Raw genomic sequence first — 20188 nt, 5'->3', positions numbered from 1 at the left:
AGAATAATCATATCAGCTAGAAAACAGGGAAAAGTCTTGGGAAACTAAATTAAACTTAAAAAGTGCTATGGCCTGAATGTTTGTGTCCTCTCCAAAATTCATATGTTGAGACCTAATCCCCAATGCAATAGTATTAAGAGGCGGGGCCTTTAGCAGGTGGTTAGGTCATGAGCACTCTGCCCTCATGAATGGGATTAGTGCCCTTATAAAAGAGGCCTGAGGGAGCTTATTTTCCCCTTCCACCATGGGAGGACCCAGCTAAAAGGTGCCATTTATGAGTCACGGAGTGGCCCTCGCCAGACACTGCATCCACTGGCTCCTTGATCTTGGACTTCCCAGCTTCCAGAACTATGAGCAAATACATCTCTGTTGTTTGTAAGTGACCCAGTTTACGGTACTTTGTTATAGCAGCCTGCACAGACTAAGACAAAAAAGGATTCATCTTTCAAGGCTGAGTTGAGACCTCAATTTCAACCCACCACCCTCACCTTATGCTACTGAGTTTTGACAAGCTACCAAGGGAGGGCGTGCAAATAGAAAGAAGCAGCAGTCCCAGGCTCAGCCACTGTTAAGAGATCAAGAAGAAAAAATGGAACCAGTAAAAGATATTGAGAAGGAATGACCAACGAGGCAGAATGAAAATCAAGACTGTATGGGGTCCTCATCAGCTATATCACCTTCTGCTGGGAAGGCTGAGAATTGACCACTGGATTTAGCAGTATGACAGTCATTAGTGATCTTAATAAGAGCAATTTCAGTGGAGAAGTGGGGCCGAAATCCTCATTAGAGTGGGATTTGAAGAAATGGATGACAGTGAGCATAGGAAACTCTTTGAGACATTTTGGGAAAAAGCAGAGCAGAATGATGGAGAAATAGCCAGAGGGGAGAGTGGAGTGGTGTGAGCGAAATTTTTAGATGGCATAAGTAATGGGAGTCATCCACCAGAGGGAACATTTTGATGATAAGGGAGAAACAGAAGAGAATTGCTGTTGTTGATGTCTTTGAGCAGGCGGTAGGAGATATGCTTTAGTATTCAAGAAGAGAGCTTGGCCTGACCTAGGACCATAAACAGCTCATCCATAGAAATGGTACCACGAGGGAAGATGGAGTATGGGGCACAGCTGAGGGTGGAGCATATGGCAGGCACTTGTGGAAGTTCTCTCCTAACTGTTATTTTCTCAGTGAAATGAGAAATCATAAGCAGAGAGCAGGGTGGGGAAGGGGGCATTGGGAAGGAGAGAGTAGAAAGCTTGAAAAGTTTCCATGAGAGTTGGAGAGCAAACAGATTAGGTAAACATAGTGTGATCAGCATTAAAGGCCCTCTTAAGTTAAAGGTCATATATTTGAAGTGCTTCTGGGGTGCGGGTCCAGATTAGACAGAGGGTTGGATTTAACAGCAAATCAAGAGGGGGCCAAGGGACAGATTATAAGGATGGAGTGTGACATGTAAGCTGTTTAGGAGGGAGATGAGGAAATGAAGCAGGTGAGGATTGGTGAGAAGGAAGTAAGATCAATGGATTGCAGGTCTTTATGAGGTCAACGGTGTATTGGGGCTGGGAAGATGGGAAGTGTTAGTAGGAGAAAGGGATGCTGGAAGTTAAAATTAAGGAGAGATTGCTGTTGTCAGTACTGATGAGGTCTTGGGTATGACAATGGGAGGCAGTGGCTGAGGTTGAATGAGGGAAAGGTTATTGGAAAAGAGGAGATCAAGCACCCAATAGGCCAGGGTGCTGAAAGGGACATTTGTATGTGTGATAAAATCATTGAGAACTGTGACAGAACAGTGTTGAGACCTAGGAGTGAGCAGGAGTGAGCTGGCGATGGCTACCAGAAAAGTAGTGGGATGATGTTCAAAGCTGGGGGCTCCTAGGGAAGAGGAAGAATAATCTGGAAATGGCAGTGAGAAGCAAGGACACACCCCCCACCTCCAGGCCCAGTGGAAGGAAAGCTATACACAAGGATGTGCTGGAGCCATGTGACGCGAGCCATCTCTTCACACACCCACGTTCAGTGAAGACAGGATGGTAGCTTGAAATCAGCCACCGTGAGAGCATCAACACTGTAGAAATCAGCAGAGCCTCCGAGTCAGGGCTTCCATCCCCCAGAGCTATTTCACCAGCACCCCACTGGGCGTGGGAGAGGAAACATCCCCCTCTTGAAGGCTGCAGGAGAAGCAGACCACAGGGAGAGTTGGGCTGCAGTTAAAGCAAGAAGAAAGGGCTCAAAGAAGAGGCTGAGGTCTAAGAGAGTTTGCTGAAGATTTGCTGTGGGTTCCAGAGGGCGTGGGTGGGTGGAAGGGGTCTTATAGGGATTAAAGCACAGGGGATAAGGGGTGACCTGAGCTTGGGGGCTGAAGGACATGAACAGGGATAAAGGCCTAATGAGATTAGTCCTCATGGTTTCAGGTCAGAAAGTGGTGAGGAGGGTCTGGCAGGGGCCTTGCAAGGAGCACACAAAACCCAATTATGGGTTTCTTGGGGGGGCACACAAACAAAGAATGATAGGAAGTTCTCATGCTGCTTTTAGTCATTGCCACGTGAAAACCTAATATGAAAATAAGAAATTAAGCAATTTCATTTAGAAGCAATATGTCAATAGCAGAGTCTACACAAATGTCTTGTTGGGGACAGAATAATGGAAGGCACCTCGGACTCTCCTGAATCTCATTCAGAAAACCAGGAGGCACATTGGAGGACTGGAGGAGGGTGTTGAGACTAAATCCGCTGCCATATCTGGGCAAGAGGCCTGCCCCGAGCGCGGGCTGATGTGGCTTTTGAGAAGTCAGTATCTCTGAGCCTCAATAAATGAGGTCTTTGATATCTACAAACAATTTTTCTCTCTTCCTACCTCTCCAACTTTGCTATGAGTAAAAATGAGCTGGGTATTTTGTAAAATACGGATTCCCCGGCTCTGCCCTCCCCTCTCTGAGGATCTGATTCAATAGATATGGACTGAGCCAGGAATCTGCATCTTCACCAAGCGCCTCAGGTGCTCAGGGTAAGTGGTATGAAGAGCAGCATTGTGCTTAGGAATAGTGAATGAGCGCATAAAATATTTTTTAAACTCTTTATAAGAGTGACAGATTTGAATGCAAGTAGCTGGGGGGGTTTTGTTTTGGTTTTGCTTGTTTGTTTTTACTTTCAACAGGTAGAAAATTATATCTGATTTTAGAAAACTGTGAAAGAGTGAGGAGGAAGGCTTCTCCAAAAAGGGCATATTGGTGGAAAATAATACCCATCTAAAGGAGTTTGGAATGACTCTATTGCAAATTGGGGGAGTTAGATGTTGATGGTTTGTGCCAGAGTAGCAAATATTTTTGGCAAGTAGACGTGACTTTCCAGTGAGAGGCCCCATTCGCTGGAGTTTCCCCCAGAGGGAACATGTGAAGATGTACAGGATAGCATTTTGTAAGAATGAAAAACCAGGAGCTCCCAGAGGAGAAAGGCCAGGGTGAAGCCTAGAGAGGAAGCTGATAGAGAATGAGAGACACAGAGACAGAGATAGAGAGAGATCAGACTACCAGGTAATTAACCATGGAGTAACCAAGGAAAGGTACAGAAGGTTAAAAAACAGGAAACACAGATATTTACAGAGCTCATCACCTAACTAGGAATCAAGAATCTTGGCTCTGGCCTGCATGTGCTGTGAATTAAAGTACCTTAATTATGCAGAGAATATTTCTGGAAGAATGCACAAGAAACTGAGCAGAAGGAAGGGAAGAAGCCTTACTTTTTAAATGTTTTTATTTTTTGAGATGGAGTCTTGCTCTGTCACCAGGCTGGAGTGCAGTGGCATGATCTCAGCTCACTGCAGCCCTGGCCTCTTGGGTTCAAGCCATTTCCCTGCCTCAGCCTCCAGAGTAGCTGGGACTCCAGGTGCGCACCACCACGTCCAACTAATTTTTGTATTTTTAGTAGAGATGGGGTTTCACTGTGTTGGCCAAGCTGGTCTCGAACTCCTGACCTCAGGTGATCTGCCTGCCTCGGCCTCCCAAAGTGCTGGGATTACAGGCGTGAGCCACCACACCCAGCCTACTTTTTTATACTGTTAAGATTTTTACTCTGTGTATATGTTATCTCTTCAAATAATTAATGAATCTGAATGCCCTGCATGTCCATGCTAATTGAGTTTACAGTAAGGTCTCATGTATTATTTAGTCCTCACGATGCCAAATGCGCTGAGCCCCATTTCAAAAGTGGGGAACTAAGTTTCAGACATTAGGAGATTTGTCCAAGATCCTAAGGAGGGGAAGCATGCCTGGAACCCAGGTCTGTTGAATCCCAGTCCATCACTTTGTAGATTATAGCATAGATGCCTCCTGCTGCTAACTGTTCAACCTCCACCACATTGCTTGACTTCCCTGGATCAGTTTCCTCATTTCTAAAGTGAGGAAGGTGGACTAAATTGGCCCTTCTTCAACTCTCTTGTGAATTAGAATCACATGGAGAGTTTGATTTAAACATGTAGATGCCCTGGCCTTATCTCCAGGGAATTGGAGGCAGGAGCTCTGGGAGGCCCAGATTATTTGCATTTTAACAAACACCTCAGATGTATTCCAAAGTTTGAGAGATTAAATTAGAGCTTGTTGCCTTTAACATACATATGACTTACCTGGGCTCTTATTAAAATGGAGATTCTAATTTGGAAGGCTTGGGGTGGAGACTGAGATTCTGCAGTCCTCACAAGCTCCCAGGTAAAGGTGATGCTGCAGTTCTGGGAATACAAAGAACAGAGTGTCTTCGAAATCTTCTCTTGCTCCAAACTTCACAGTGTTGAATAAAGAAGGAAGAGCAACTTTGCTTAGAAAGTTGCTTTGAAGTAGGCAAGGCAAGGAAAACCTGCCCAAAGAAATTGCTGGGGGACTCAAGGGAAGAGGAACAAGTCAACAGAGGTTTCAGGTGCCAAGAAAAGGTGAAGCCTTGCCCTGGAGCCCAGGGGTGATGCTAGAGATCAAGAAAGGAGCAGAGTCATCTATAGAAACTGTAGAGAGCCTCTAATAGCCTGAGAGGGAAACCTGAACATGTCATGAGAATTCGAAGGAGACTGCAAAGACAGGCTAACATGCCTGAGAGGCAGCTTACCACGGGTCATTTACTGAAACTCCATGTGCAAACTTGTGATCATGTGCGAGATTGTCACTGTAAGTCTTTGTTGTTCTGAAAAGATCCCGTGAGGCAGAAGAAGACATGAGAGAGCCTATATGTTTGGAAAATTTATTTGACAATGTATTTGGAGAAGCAATCACCCTTTTCACTTGAGTGAAGGCAGCAGAATTCTAAGAAACATTCTGTTTGTCGTTGCTCTGGGTCTGTTTCATCTAGGTTAACAAAGAGTGGTTTTTGTTTGTTTTTTGTCGCATGGTTTTTTCCCCCCCATAGGAAGCAACGGGAATTCTGGTGGTCTCAGCCGTACCAGCCTCACACCTGCCTCAAGTCAACCCTATGTGAGTATTGCAACTGCCCGACAGGTTCTTCCTGTTTGCAATAAAGACCATGGCATTGCAGTAAATAAAGAGTCTAATTGATGTGAGGCTGGCCATGCCACATGGGAGATGGAGTTGTTATTTAAATCAATCTCCTTGAAGGGCCCTAGATTAGGGGTTTTTCAAAGGTAGTTTGGGGAGGGCGTGGGGGTGGTGGCTATTCAGTGGGCACTTGCTACTGATTGGTTGGATCAGAGACGAAATCATAGGGAGTTGAAGCTGTCCTCTTGTACTGAGTTGCTTCTGGGTGGAGCCACAGGAGCCATTGGTTGGTGGGTCCAGATGGAGCCACAGGTGTCAGACATGCAAAAAACCTAAAAAGATGTCACAAAAGGCCAATCTTAGGTTCTACAATAGTAATGTTATTTGCAGGAATTATTGGGGAAATTGCATATCTTATGACAGTCTACACCTTAGCAGAATTCAGGCTCCTCTCCTTCCACTAACTTGATGGTCTCTCATTAGCTTTATAAAGGCGGCTGAGTTTTAGGGGAAGGACTGTTATCATTTAAACTATAAATAAAATGTCTCTCAAAGCGAACCCTGGAATGAAGGCAGCTTGAAAGCTAAAAGCAAGAGGAGCTTGGGCTAGATCAGATCTCCCCCACTACCATAATTTTCTCACTGATGTAATTTTTACAAAGGCAATTTCAGTATGTGTCTACCTCAGACCCAGCATGTGCATCCTGGGAGAGCCTGCTTCCTCCCTCCAGGGCTGGCTTCCTGCCTAGGAGATCTCTAAATGTCCCCACTGCCCCCAAATAATCTCCCTGGCAGCCAGCCATCTGAAGTCCTACCGTTGACATTCCTTCTTTGGATTTAGAAGGGTTTTCAGTTTATGAAAATGCATATGTTCTTATCTTGGTGACACCTGAAGACATCCCTCCCCAAGTTGAGGCCTTCCAAGATCTCTGCAGCTCATATGTGCATTATACCTGACTGGCAAGCAAGGCTGCATAACTACACATATACCTTCATTTGGGTTCTATCAACTTAGAGGACTTAACCTTCACACTGTTCAGAAGCACTGATTAACAATTGTGTATGCCTTTGGTGAATAAATATGGGATGGAATTGTTACTTAATGAATGCAGTTTGATTGCTAGACAATATTATTCAAGCAGCTGGGGAGTGGTGAGTAAAGGCTCCATGGTGGCAAATGCTTGATTAAAGGTGCTGTGGCTTGGCAGAGGCCAGCTGAGCCTACTGAGCGAGGCCCTTCTGAAATGGCCCTCAGGTGGGCCCTGGAAAGGGGGTAAGGGAGGGAACTGGGCACCAGAAGGACGGAGGGGAGGCAAAGAGAGGAGACTGGAAGGACACAAAAAGTATCAACATCACAGATCTGCCCGGGGCAAGCCTCACCCACTTTATTATGTCTCCCTTCTCCAAGCCAAAAATTACTTTTCCTTTTATTTTCTTATTGAAAAGATGTGAGGACAACTATAAAGGCAGTTTTTGACAAAAGAAAACATGCCTTCTCAATGACAATATTTTCATATTAACTTCCAGTGGTGAACACATATTTTAGATGGTTATAGTAATAGCTGCAATACCACTTTTTATTTTTTTAAACTTAACATCTTTTTTTTTCTTTTTTAATTATACTGTAAGTTCTGGGATACATGTGCAGAACGTGCAGGTTTGTTACATAGGTATACATGTGCCATGGTGGTTTGCTGCACCTATTAACCCATTATCTACATTAGGTATTTGTCCTAATGCTATCCCTCCCCTTAGCCCCCACCGGCCAACAGGCCCCCAGTGTGTGATGTTCCCCTCCCTGTGTCGACGTGTTCTCATAGTTCAACTCCCATTTATGAGTGAGAAAATGCGGTGTTTGGTTTTCTGTTCCTGTCTTAGTTTGCTGGGAATGATGGTTTCCAGCTTCATCCATTCCCATTCAGTATGATTCTGGCTGTGCGTTTGTCATAAATAGCTCTTATTATTTTGAGATACGTTCCATCAGTACCTAGTTTATTGAGAGTTTTTAGCATGAGGGGGTGTTGAATTTTATCAAAGGCCTTTTCTGCATGTATTGAGGTAATCATGTGGTTTTTGTCATTGGTTCTGTTTATGTGATGGATTACATTTATTGATTTGCATATGTTGAACCAGCCTTGCATCCCAGGGATGAAGCCAACTTGATTGTGGTGGATAAGCTTTTTGCTGTGCTGCTGGATTTGGTTTGCCAGTATTTTATTGAGGATTTTCCCATCGATGTTCATCACGGATATTGGCCTGAAATTTTTTTTGTGTGTGTGTCTCTGCCAGGTTGATGGTATCAGGATGATGCTGGCCTCATAAAATGAGTGAGGGAGGAGTCCCTCTTTTTCCATTGTTTGGAATAGTTTCAGAAGGAATGGTACCAGCTCCATTTGGTCCTGGGCTTTTTTTTGGTTGGTAGGCTATTAATTACTGCCTCAATTTCAGAACTTGTTATTGGTCTATTCAGGGATTCAACTACTTCCTGGTTTAGTCATGGGAGGGTGCATGTGTCCAGGAATTTATCCATTTCTCTAGATTTTCTAGTTTATTTGCATAGAGGTGTTTATAGTATTCCTTGATGGTAGTTTGTATTTCTGTGGGATCAGTGGTGATGTTGTCCCCTTTATCATTTTTTATTGTGTCTATTTGATTCTTCTCTCTTTTCTTCTTTATTAATCTGGCTAGTGGTCTATCTATTTTCTTAATCTTTTCAAAAATCCAGCTCCTGAATTCATTGATTTTTTTGAAGGTTTTTTTGTGTCTCTGTCTCCTTCAGTTCTGCTCTGATCTTAGTTATTTCTTGTCTTCTGCTAGATTTTTGAATTTGTTTGCTCTTGCTTCTCTAGTTCTTTTAATTGTGATGTTAGGGTTTCGATTTTGGATCTTTCTTGCTTTCTCCTGTGGGCATTTAGTGCTCTAAATTTCCTTCTAAACACTGCTTTAGCTGTTTTCCAGAGATTCTGGTACATTGTGTCTTTGTTCTCATTGCTTTCAAATAACTTATTTATTTCTGCCTTAATTTCATTATTTACCCAGTAGTCATTCTGGAGCAGGTTGTTCTGTTTCCATGTAGTTGTACGGTTTTGAGTGAGTTTCTTAATCCTGAGTTCTAATTTGATTGCACTGTGGTCTGAGAGACTGTTATGATTTCCGTTCTTTTGCATTTGCTGAGGAATGTTTTACTTCCGGTTGGTGGTCAATTTTAGAATAAGTGTGATGTGGTGCTGAGAAGAATGTATATTCTGTTGATTTGGGGTATAGAGTTCTGTAGATGTCTATTAGGTCCACTTGGTCCAGAGCTGAGTTCAAGTCCTGAATATCCTTGTTAATTTTCTGTCTCGTTGATCTGTCTAATATTGACAGTGGGTTGTTAAAGGCTTCCCCTATTATTGTGTGGGAGTCTAAGTCTCTTTGTAGGTCTCTAAGAACTTGCTTTATGAATCTGGGTGCTTCTCTATTCGGTGCATATATATTTAGAATAGTTAGCTCTTCTTGTTGTGTTGATCCCTTTACCACTTTGCAATGCCCTTCTTTGTCTTTTTTGATCTTTGTTAGTTTAAAGTCTGTTTTATTAGAGACTAGGATTGGAACCCCTGCTTTTTTTTGCTTTCCATTTGCTTGGTAAATATTCCTCCATCCCTTTATTTTGAGGCTATGTGTGTCTTTGCATGTGAGATGGGTCTCCTGAATACAGCACACCGATGGGTCCTGACTCTTTATCCAATTTGCAGTCTGTGTCTTTTAATTGGGGTATTTAGCCCATTTACATTTAAGGTTAATATTGTTATGTGTGAATTTTATCCTGTCAAAGCTGGAGTGTCCCAGGTCAACTTCAGACTGCTGTGCTGGCAGCGAGAATTTCAAGCCAGTGGATCTTAGCTTGCTAGGCTCCGTGGGGGTGGGATCTGCTGAGCAAAACCACTTGGCTCCCTGGCTTCAGCCCCTTTTCCAGGGGAGCAAACGGTTCTGTCTTGCTGGTATTCCAGGCGCCACTGGGGTATGAAAAAAAACAAACAAACTCCTCCAGCTAGCTCAGTGTCTGCCCAAACGGCCGCCCAGTTTTGTGCTTGAAACCCACGGCCCTGGTGGTGTAGGCACCCAAGGGAATCTCCTGGTCTGTGGGTTGCGAAGAACATGGGAAAAGGGTAATATCTGGGCTGGAGTGCACCCTTCCTCACTGCAAAGTCCCTCACAGCTTTCCTTGGCTAGGGGAGGGAGTTCCCCGACCCCTTTCACTTCCCAGGTGAGGCAACACCCCACCCTGCTTTGGTTTACCCTTTGTGGGCTGCACCCACTATCTAGCCAGTCCCAGTGAGATGAGCTGGGTACCTTAGTTGGAAATGCAGAAATCACCTGCCTTCTGCATTGATCTTGCTGGGAGCTGCAGACCAGAGCTATTCCTATTCAGCCATCTTGCCAGCCACTTAACATCTTATCAGAAACATTTTTCATGACACAATCTTTGTAGTGATATTTTAGTTACTTCTTCCACGTTTTGAAAATTTTTTTTTTAAAACAAACTTTCATTTATCAAAGGCACATGAAAATGCTAATTACAGTTTCTAATCAGCATCTGATAATTACCTGTAGTATAACTTCTGGTTTTCATTTAATTTGCTTATGTGGCCTGTGTGATTTATATTAGACTTTCTAGAAGTCCATGCTGAAAATAGTTTTCAATATTCTATTATTATCCTCACAAATATCTAAGTCCACGAGCCTCAGGTTTGGAGCCACTGACTTAAAGGGTCCCCTCTCTTAGGGAATGTTTCCGGTAGACATGATTATTTTTTAAACTACTAGAAAGATCATTTATTTTCAACTATTATAGATGATCCTTCAATTAATATTATTTTGTATGTTTCTGCTCTGCTTAAGTCTTATCATACCCTCCTCCCCCCAAAAAAATTAGGGGCAGGCTACTGAGTCCAAAGATATAGGGCAATTTTATTAATGAAATGTTATTGATGTTAGTTTGCAGATGATTATTAAAATGTTATTTACTGAAGGTGCACTTATAGTTGTCTTCCCTCTTTCTTTCCCTTCCTCCCTCCCTCTCTCCATCTCTCTGTCTTCTTCCCTTCCTTTCATTGAAAATTTGGGTTCCTAAAATATGCTGAAGTAAGCATGTTAATTCAGAAATTCATAGAATGCTACCCTTGTAGAACTAGCTGGGATGGAAGAAGGCGGGATTTACCAGAAGCAAGTAGATTTCCATTTCCAACAAGGCTCACAAATGTATCAGTTTTATAAAGTATTCATTTATCATTTTCTTACTAAATCTTCCCTGAATTTCTAGAGAATAAACCCAGAATACTAATTACAATAATTTTTGCACATTACATTTCTTATTGTAAATTAATCTGAGAAAATATAGTACAGATACTGTGTTCTTTTTATCCCCCCTGCTTCAATCATTTGCTTGTACTCAGCAATTTCTATGGAAGAAGGTAAGAAATAGTATTTAGGAAAAAACTCTTATCTCCAAAGTCTTTTAGAAATTTCTTGTAGTTTAAAGAATTCACTTTAATTCAGTTCAGCTATTTATTAAGCTCTTCCTATATACCTAGTAGTGTGATAGTCATTATTAAGCTCTTCCTATATACCTAGTAGTGTGATAGTCATTGATTTATAAAAATATGTCATTCAAAGATATGCATGCAAAGTATAATTGTCCTAACACTGAGAGGAATAAAGAAAAGAGAAGCAACATTTATATGCAGCTCCAGAGTTTAACATAGCGTATGGCAAGAACTCAATAAAAGCTGTGAAACTGATGAGATGTTTTGTTTCAACTGCTTTATACATATTACCTAACAATAAAACTATAGTGAAAATTATTATTATTATTCCCATGTTATGGATGAAAAGATTGACACTGAGAGAAGGTAAGAACAGTTGTCAGCAGTTGAAAACAGTGTAATCTGGATTCAAGATTCCCTCTGTCTAAAAGGCCCTGCATTAGGGAACAAATGGGACCTTCAGTTACTATCCTTTCCCCTTCTCCATGCCCAACCATCTGGATGACTCATTATGATGGTGCTCTCTCTCTCTCTCTCTCACACACACACACACACACACACACACACACACAAAGCAAGATGCTTTCTGCTTCCAGAAAGAGGAAAAAAGAGGTGTCCCCTTAGCCACCAACCACAGTTCATCCTTGAATTTGGAAAGGGAAAACAGAGAACTGCAAGATGACTTTTGAAGGCTGATCTATGGGAACAAGGCTCCAATCTGTGTCCCCCCAAAACAAAAAAGGTGTATGACACAGGAGGGCAAGAGAAGAAGGTGAGGGAGAGAGGGGCAAGTCCAGGGTGCCTGCTTCTGGTTTGTCTACTCAGGGTCATGTTACAGGCTGCACTGTTAAGAGTTGTGAAGGGCAACCTGGGCATAGCCCTTGGTGGGAGGGAGGAGCTGGGAACTGTACGGTAGTGGTGGGTGATAAGGCCATGGTCTTAGCTTGAGCTTCCGTAACAAGATACCACAGACTAAGTGGCTTAAACAACAGATATTTATTTTCTCACAGTTCTGGAGGCTGGAAGTCTAAGATTAAGGTTCCAGCAGGGTTGGTTTCTGGTAAGGCCTCTTCCTGGCTTGCAGACAGCCACCTTCTTTGCTGTGTGCTTATGTGGTGTTGCCTCTGTGCATCCTTAGAGGGAGAGGGAGAGGGAGAGAGAAAGAAGAGAGAGAGAGAGAGAGGAAGAGAAGAGAAGAGAAGAGAAGAGAAAGAGAGAGAGATCGATTGATCTGATGTGTTTTTTCTTCTTATAAGGCCACCAGTTCTATCAAATTAAGGCCCCAGCAGTATGACCTCATTTAACCTTAATTACCTCCTTAAAGGCCCTCTCTCTAAATACAGCCATACTGAGGGCAAGGGCTTCAACATATGAATACTGGGGGGAACACAATTCAGTACATTATCCTAGCTGATAATGTGGAATCATTGATTTGGGGAGAACAAAATCAGTGGCCCTATCTTAGATCCCAGAGTCAAGCGTCAGAAAAGTCAGAGCTTCTCATGCTGTTACTAGATAATCATGCCTGGTTTTTTGTACCTTCCTCTGTAAAATAAAAATGAAAATTGTAGTCTTTGTTTGCCCTAAAGAAAAACAACTTTGTTATGTACTGGGAACTAATGAACTCACTGTTGTTATGGATGGCTAATAACAATCTAATTATTTAACTAGGAAATTAAATTAATCTAATTAATTAGGAAAATAATCTCTAAATGAATATAAGTAAACAAATGACAGTGCAGAAAATCTCAACCATGCCACTCGTTTATCTGTGTCCCTACCTGTATGAGACAGTGTTATTTCATAAAATTTTTCATATTTCACTTAAAAACATTAATGAGTGATGTGGTTTTTAAGGGGTGGCGATAACACCTTATAGTGTTATAAAGGTTACCTTATAGTGTAGCTTATTCTACAGACTATACTTTGGACTACACTTTTACAGACTATGTACTTTTGGAACATGTATAAGCTTCATTTATTAAATCCGTATTTGTTGAGCACCTGGGATGTGCTGGGCACTGCTAGAAACAAGATGTAAAGTGCTGAAAGAAAAAATTCAGAACCTTTATTCAAATCAACAATTTTGATATTTAAAAGAAAACTCAATTTAAGAAATAATTTATCATTTGCCCACTATGTGCAAAATACTGTACTAAGAGTCTGTAAAAACTAGTGAGGCAGTCCCTGTCTTCAAGAAGCTGTCTAGGAGAACAAAGAAGGCAAACCCCCGAATGGTTATAGATGTAGAATAGATGTGCAGTAGCAGACAGTTCAAGGTAGTAGGAAGAAAATGCTCTGCAAGGGGGTATTCATTCTGATCAGTGTTTGGGATGGACCTAGAAGCATGACAGGCACAGGGAACAGTGTAAGCAAAGGCTGTGATGTCCACTCTAATGGTAGCGTAAGATGCGTGAAGGAGAGAAGCAGATGACAACCTTCCAAGCTGGGTTTAGATCATGCTGTAGAGAGTTTTGAGAATTAGGATAAGTAGTTTTTAAAGTTATGTTCCTTTATTCTCTTATATATACTTCAGCTAAAGGTAAAGATAATTCACATTTATTGAGTACTTACCATATGCCTGAGCTTTTCGTGCATTTTCTCAATCCTAGCCTATATGGTAGGTACTGTTACTCTCCCCATTTTCACATGGAGAACAGAGGCTTAGAGGTCAACTAATTTGTGCAGCATTCAAAAGCCTATGGTTTTTAATTTTTAACCATTTTATGTTATATAGCCTCCCACATCATACATTTTCATTTAATATAGGAGAGCCCTTTTTATCTCTCCAAGTAAGCAATAGTTGTAAATTTATCATAAGGTGGACTGAGTTTTATTGACATACCTAATTTTATTTGTATTTTGTGAGTTTTATTGACATACATAGGGAATTTTTTTTATTTTTATTTATTTTTATTTATTTTTATTTTTATTTTTAGATGGAGTTTCGCTCTTGTTGCCCAGGCTGGAGTGCAATGGCACTATCTCGACTCACTGCAACCTCTGCCTCCCGGGTTCAAACGATTCTCCTGCCTCAGCCTCCCACGTAGCTGGGATTATATAGGCATGTGCTACCACACCCGACTAATTTTTGTTTTTTTTGGTAGAGACATGGTTTCACCATGTCGGTCAAGTTGGTCTCGAACTCTTGATCTCAGGTGATCCGCCCGCCTCGGCCTCCCAGAGTGCTGGGATCACAGGCATGAGCCACCATGCCTGGCCGGGAATTTTCTTTTTAATGCAGACACATTTTAAATTCTGTTTCTCCCTTTCTATACTCTTTTATAGAAGATGACATGAAGATTGATGAGAAATGTGTGGAAGCAGGTAACATTTTCTCTTGATTGCTTTGCTGTTAGAAGAAATATGAAGCATGTCAATTATAGATTATCTGAAGCAGAGGTGTCCAAAGGGGCCATGGGCCTTTCCTCTAGAAATGTGTAAAATGACCCTCCACCCCCATCTATCTTCTGTAGTTCTGGCACTTGGAAGGAGAAGCTGTGGTAATGTCTCCAGGTTCCCACTGATCTACTAGAAAATGTTCTAGAAAGCAGTGCTTTGTAAATGATCTCAAGAACACTTAGTAACTCTCAGCATATCCGATGGTAGAACACTTGGAAACCTCTGCTCTTTGTGAAATACCATAAAATATTGCAGTATCAAATTTTTAAAGAGCAATATATATATTTTATTATTAAGTTTGATGCCATCTTCTGGTGGATTCTAGTATAGATAAATAGTAGTAGGTTCCAAAATGATGAGACATGCATGAAAGTTTTTTACATTTCTACTCTTTAATTTTTTTGTAAATTGGGAAAAGATTTTTCAAATTTAGTGGCAGAACTAAGATTGGCTTAAGAATCACTAGGATTTTGTTAGGAGACCAGTTGGAGAACCTTAGTCTGACAGGTGAATCTGTCTTTGCTTTACAGGCTAGTCTAGTTTTTAGAAGTGAGAGAACAATGTAAAATTTTAAAACAGTGGGCATTTCAATGATTCACATATATTTTCCAGAGCAACAGCAGAATACTGCTGACATTATGTTTATTTTACCAAGTATACATTTTTTTAAACTTGCAGTAATATTCATTTCTTTTCTACAATTTCCATTATATTTTTATTAGGTAACAATTCACATAGTTCAAAATTTAATAACTACAAAGGTATATTCAGTAAGAAGTTCCTCTCTTTCCATGTTCTCCTACTCATTTTTCTTTCTTGGGGCAATAAATTTTAATAGTTTCTTCAGTATCACCCCAGACATATTCTGTGCACATAAAAGCAATGATGTGGCCGGGCGTGGTGGCTCATGCCTGTAATCCCAGCACTTTGGGAGGCCGAGGTGGGCGGATCACGAGGTCAGCAGATGCAGACCATCCTGCCTAACACAGTGAAACCCTGCCTCTACTAAAAAAATAGAAAAAAAAATTAGCCAGGCGTGGTGGCGGGCGCCTGTAATCCCAGCTACTCAGGAGGCTGAGGCAGGAGAATGGCGTGAACCCGGGAGGCAGAGCTTGCAGTGAGCCGAGATTGCGCCACTGCACTCCAGCCTGGGCGACAGAGCGAGACTCCGTCTCAAAAAAAAAAAAAAAAAAAAGCAATGATGTATGTATTTCTCCTTCCCCCTTCATCACCCCCATCTTTTTTTCCAAATCCAAATGCACATACTCTTTGATAGCAAGATATGCACACTGTTCTGTTCCTGGCTTTTCCAACTTAACATTCTGTATCTTGGAGGTGACTCTATCTTAGCACATAAAGAGCCTTGTTTTATTTTTTTAACAGCTTATTGGTTATTGTATACTTATACAATCATTTATTTGTAGGCATTGTGTTATGTCCATTTGTTTCTATTATAAACAGTGCTACAATGAATTGCCTTATAACTATATCATTTTACATGCATGAGAATACCTTAGATGCAGCATTGCCTGATCCAAGGACGCATGCATTGGTAATGTTGCCATGTATTTCAAATTACCCTCCATGTATGTTTCTTAATCCTTAATCTCTCTTTAAAATGCTAACAAGAGTTGTTTTAACTAATGCGGAAGTTGGTTTATCTCACATCCTTCTCAGCCACCTGATCAAGCCTACGTAATCAAGTCATTCATATGCTCACTCTCCTCGTCATCACCCCCGTTTGTGGGTCCGCAACTCTTCAGGCAGGGTGCACCCCTCCTACATCGGCAAGCCCTCTGCAGCAAAGCCGAGCAGTATCCAACAGTCTCTAGGGATTTCCCTGACATTCCACTTTCCCCTTCCCTCTGAGCTGCTTTTTACATTTTATTTTATTCACCTTCTATTATTTTATTTATTTTGAGCTCCTGCTGCACCCCTGACTGTCATCATGGCTCAACTGCCGAATACCATGTGTTTCATGTAAAGCTGATATATGCCATAGAGACACCATCGATTCGACCTTGATTTAGGAAAAAAACTTTACAAAGGTGGTGTATGGGCAGAAGTAGGGGCCAGAGAATTAGACTTAAAATATAGACTCAGTGTAGATGGTCATGTAATAACATTTTTGATTTTTGCCTCCATGAAAAATCATAGATGAAGAAACATTTGAATCTGGTAAGTAAAAAATGAGTATTTGGTACTGATTTTTAAATGTATATTCTAAATTTTGATGCAATTTATACACATATTTATAATAACTGTTTAAATATATCAACATTAAAAAATTAAAAAGTAACTGCGTGTATCCCACATCATGTTGTCAACCTCAAATATACATTATAAAATTTATTTTTAATTTTAATTTTTAATTTTTTTGAGACAAGGTCTCTCTGTCACTCAGGCTGGAGTGCAGTGGTGTGATCATGGCTCATTGCAGCCTCGAATTCCTGAGCTCAAGTGATCCTCCCACCTCAGCCTTCCAAACAGCTGGAACTACAGGCATATGCCATTACACCTGGCTAATTTATTTATTTATTTTGAGACAAGGTCTCAGTCTGTTGCCCAAGGTGAGGTGCAAGTGGTATGATCATAGCTCACTGCAGCCTTGACTTCCTTGGCTCAGGTGATCCTCCCACTTTAGCCTCCCAAGTAGCTGGGACTACAGTCCCATGCCACCATGCGTGGCTAATTTTTCAATTTTTTGTAGATACAGGGTCTCACTGTGTTGCTCAGGCTTGTCTCCAACTCCAGGCCTCGAGTGGTTCTCCCACCTTGACCTCCCAAAGTGAGCCACCACACCTGGTCCCAGTAAAATGTATTTTAAAAAATACAGCAACAGTGCAGTTGTGAGATGTAGATTTTACCTTAGCCAGTACTTCTCACAGGGCTAGTACTGTCCCTGATGTAGCATTTTGGAACTTTTTGGGAGCATTTTTTTATTGTCACATTGATTGCGGATACTCCTGGCCTTTAACTGGTGTCTCTTGACCCACGTATCTTCTGAATGTCCTGCTGGACAAAACTCGTTACAAATATAAAAGCGTCATTTTTCAACACACAAAAAGTTTTCATAAGATTTAGCATGAGAAGCACAGTGGTTTAGAAGACAGTCATTACAGAGAGAGACATTCAAACAGAATGCAGGCATTGCCTTGCAATTATTGAATGATTTATTCCACGTATCCTGTTTATTCGATATTGCTAGTAAATAAACTGGAAAGTATATCTATACTGAATTAATTTTCTTTTTCTTTAATATATTATTTGTTATTATTGATGACATATGGTATCAAGTGTCTGTCCCTCAAAATAATGTTGACATCATTAAAAACAAAATAGGCCCCACAGAATTTTATTTTTAAACTGCAAACCTGCTGGGGCATGTTAACATGACTTATCCAATTCCAAGTATATTATTTTTCCTCATTTTCTCCCATTTCATTGGTCTCTAATTGCTTTGGCATATTATCTTTACCCCAATTAAGGCAATTTTCTTCTTTCTCTTATCACATACAAATAAATCTAGCCTTTTATTACTTACCAAAACACTTTTTATTCTAGTGTCCACCTGTTTCTTTTCTATTTTTCTGTACTTCATATAAGGAATATTTTCTGATTTTCTTACTTCTCTTGAATCCATGCTTCGTTATAAGTAAATATTAATATAAGCATCTAGTAGTTTCTTAGGTCTTCCAAATATGTTATGCCCAAGGATTTATATTTTGATATATATACTTTTTTTTTTTTTTTTTTTTGAGACAGAGTCTCACTCTGTCACCCAGGCTGGAGTGCAGTGGTGTGATCTGGGCTCACTGCAATCTCCATCCCCCAGGCTCAAGTGATTCTTGTGCCTCAGCCTCCTGAGTAGCTGGGATTACAGGTGTGCACCACAACACCCAGCTAATTTTTGTATTTTTAGTAGAGACGGGTTTCCATGTTGCTCAGGCTAGTCTCGAACTCCTGATCTCAAGTGATCCGTCTGCCTTGTATATATATACTTTTAAAATATATATATATTTTAAAATATAAATTACTTCTTTTAAAATGTTTTTTAATGTTACAGCTGGAGCATTGTATTGATTTTTAAAATTACATGTGTGGTAGATTATGCCATCTATTAATTTCCTTTCATAAAAGTAGAGAGATGGCTACAAATATTAGTTATAAAAAAAGAAAGCATTGAGACAGATGAGTTGTGAACCACTTTTCTAAATTATTTACATTTATGTTGTTTCAAAATTTCCTATTTTCCGTTAGATGGTTGGCCTGTTAGAAATAATTTAATTGATTATTTATACTTGCCCATTTGGCTTAGTTTTTAATTCCCCTAGCTTATTCTCATCCTTCTTTGTTCTGTCCCACTGGAAAACACTCCACATGTGAAGGCTGAGGTTGAGGCCGGGGAGTGTTTGCGGGTCTGTGGAAGGAGAAGCAGTGGGTGAGACCACCGACTCCAGCCAGATTGGCCAGTTTGAACCCTGGGTTCATTACTCACTAACTGCGGGTTCTCTGGCTCTTAACCTCTCTGCCCTTCAGGTTCCTCACCTCTAAAATGGCAACAATAATTTATATGAATAAAGTGCTTAGAACAGTGCCTGGTACACAGGAAGTGCTACACAAGTGTTAGCGGGCATTATTATTGTGAAATCTTGTTCCTTGGGGGAGTCAGCAGCCAGTTCTTTTGAGAACAGCACTGCAGAGGGAGGTGCCTACTGTAAAACGCCCCTTGTGGACTCCTCTCAGCTGGAAAAGTGAGAACTCTCAAGCATCGATACGTTCTGAACCCAGCTCTCTGAGGAGCTCAATTAAGGAACAGTTAGCACCCAGCTGGCATATTTTCTAAGCATAGAACCCTTGGCATTCATTCCATGATGCTTAATTCTGTTACTTAGACTGCTTAGTGAGCAGTTAAGGTTCTTCAGTTTCGGTCTGTAGTCTGAATAAAGTATAGTATGACTTCCTTGAATTTCCCCAGGAGGTGACGAGGTGATTGTATGGTTTATTTAATCAGAAGCGTCATTAAAAAAAAAAAAAAGGCTGGATATGGTGGCTCACGCCTCTAATCCCAGCACTTTGGGAGGCCGAGGCAGGCAGATCACTTGAGGTCAGGAGTTCGAGACCAGCCTGGCCAACATGATGAAACCCCGTCTCTACTAAAAATACAAAAATTAGCCAGGCGTGGTGGCTCATGCCTATAATCCCAGCTACTCAGGAGGTTGAGGCAAGAGAATTGCTTGAACTTGGGAGACAGAGATTGCAGTGAGCCAAGATAGCACCATTGCACTCCAGCCTGGGTGACAGAGGGGACTGCATCTCAAAACAAACCAAAAAACAGAATATGGCTATTTTGTGATATCTAGAAAACAAAGAAAACAGTTTGCTTTGTATTTGGTTTCCTCTGTCTTCATGGGGCAGCTGGGGATGGAAGTGTGTGAGACCCAGGAAGGGGAAGGAATGAGGACCCTCGCTTGGGCCAGAGGCTGCTGCAGCACCCAGCAGCAGCACCATTTCTACCACTTCCTCCCCTTCACAGAGCTGCTGCAATACTGCCTCGGGGAGAGAGGAGGGAGAAGGCTCAAACCTGTTGCTTTCCTTTAACTTCTCCCTTTGAAGCCCTATTTTGTGCCAACCAAGTAGAGTCTTCCTGAGTTAAAAAGCCTTCAGGGAGAGTCTTGATAGGCAACTTTCAGAAAAAGTTACTGTCCCAAGCAGCAGAGTCAGGGCAAACCAGTTTCTCAGTCCCAATCATGTGGTGATCATTTGCCTTGCCAGGCCTTACCCGAGTTACCTTTTG

At 41.3% G+C, this 20188-nt stretch overlaps 1 protein-coding gene across 2 annotated transcripts in view; it reads left to right on the top strand.

Moving 5' to 3' along the window:
* MPP4 (MAGUK p55 scaffold protein 4) overlaps window positions 1–20188 on the top strand; it is a 53771-nt gene that overhangs the window by 17995 nt on the left and 15588 nt on the right. The window contains exons 11-14 of one of the 2 annotated variants that reach the window (NM_033066.3): window positions 5379–5443; window positions 10900–10917; window positions 14278–14316; window positions 16549–16569. In NM_033066.3, the coding sequence (NP_149055.2) occupies window positions 5379–5443; window positions 10900–10917; window positions 14278–14316; window positions 16549–16569 (143 nt within the window). The remainder of the gene's footprint in view (window positions 1–5378; window positions 5444–10899; window positions 10918–14277; window positions 14317–16548; window positions 16570–20188) is intronic. The other variant, NM_001438024.1, reaches the window with a different exon arrangement.

Source organism: Homo sapiens, chromosome 2 (assembly GCF_000001405.40).
Source record: "Homo sapiens chromosome 2, GRCh38.p14 Primary Assembly".
Lineage (NCBI taxonomy): Eukaryota > Metazoa > Chordata > Mammalia > Primates > Hominidae > Homo > Homo sapiens.
Note: the sequence above shows the minus strand (reverse complement) of the source record. Positions and strands in the feature narration are given on the sequence as shown.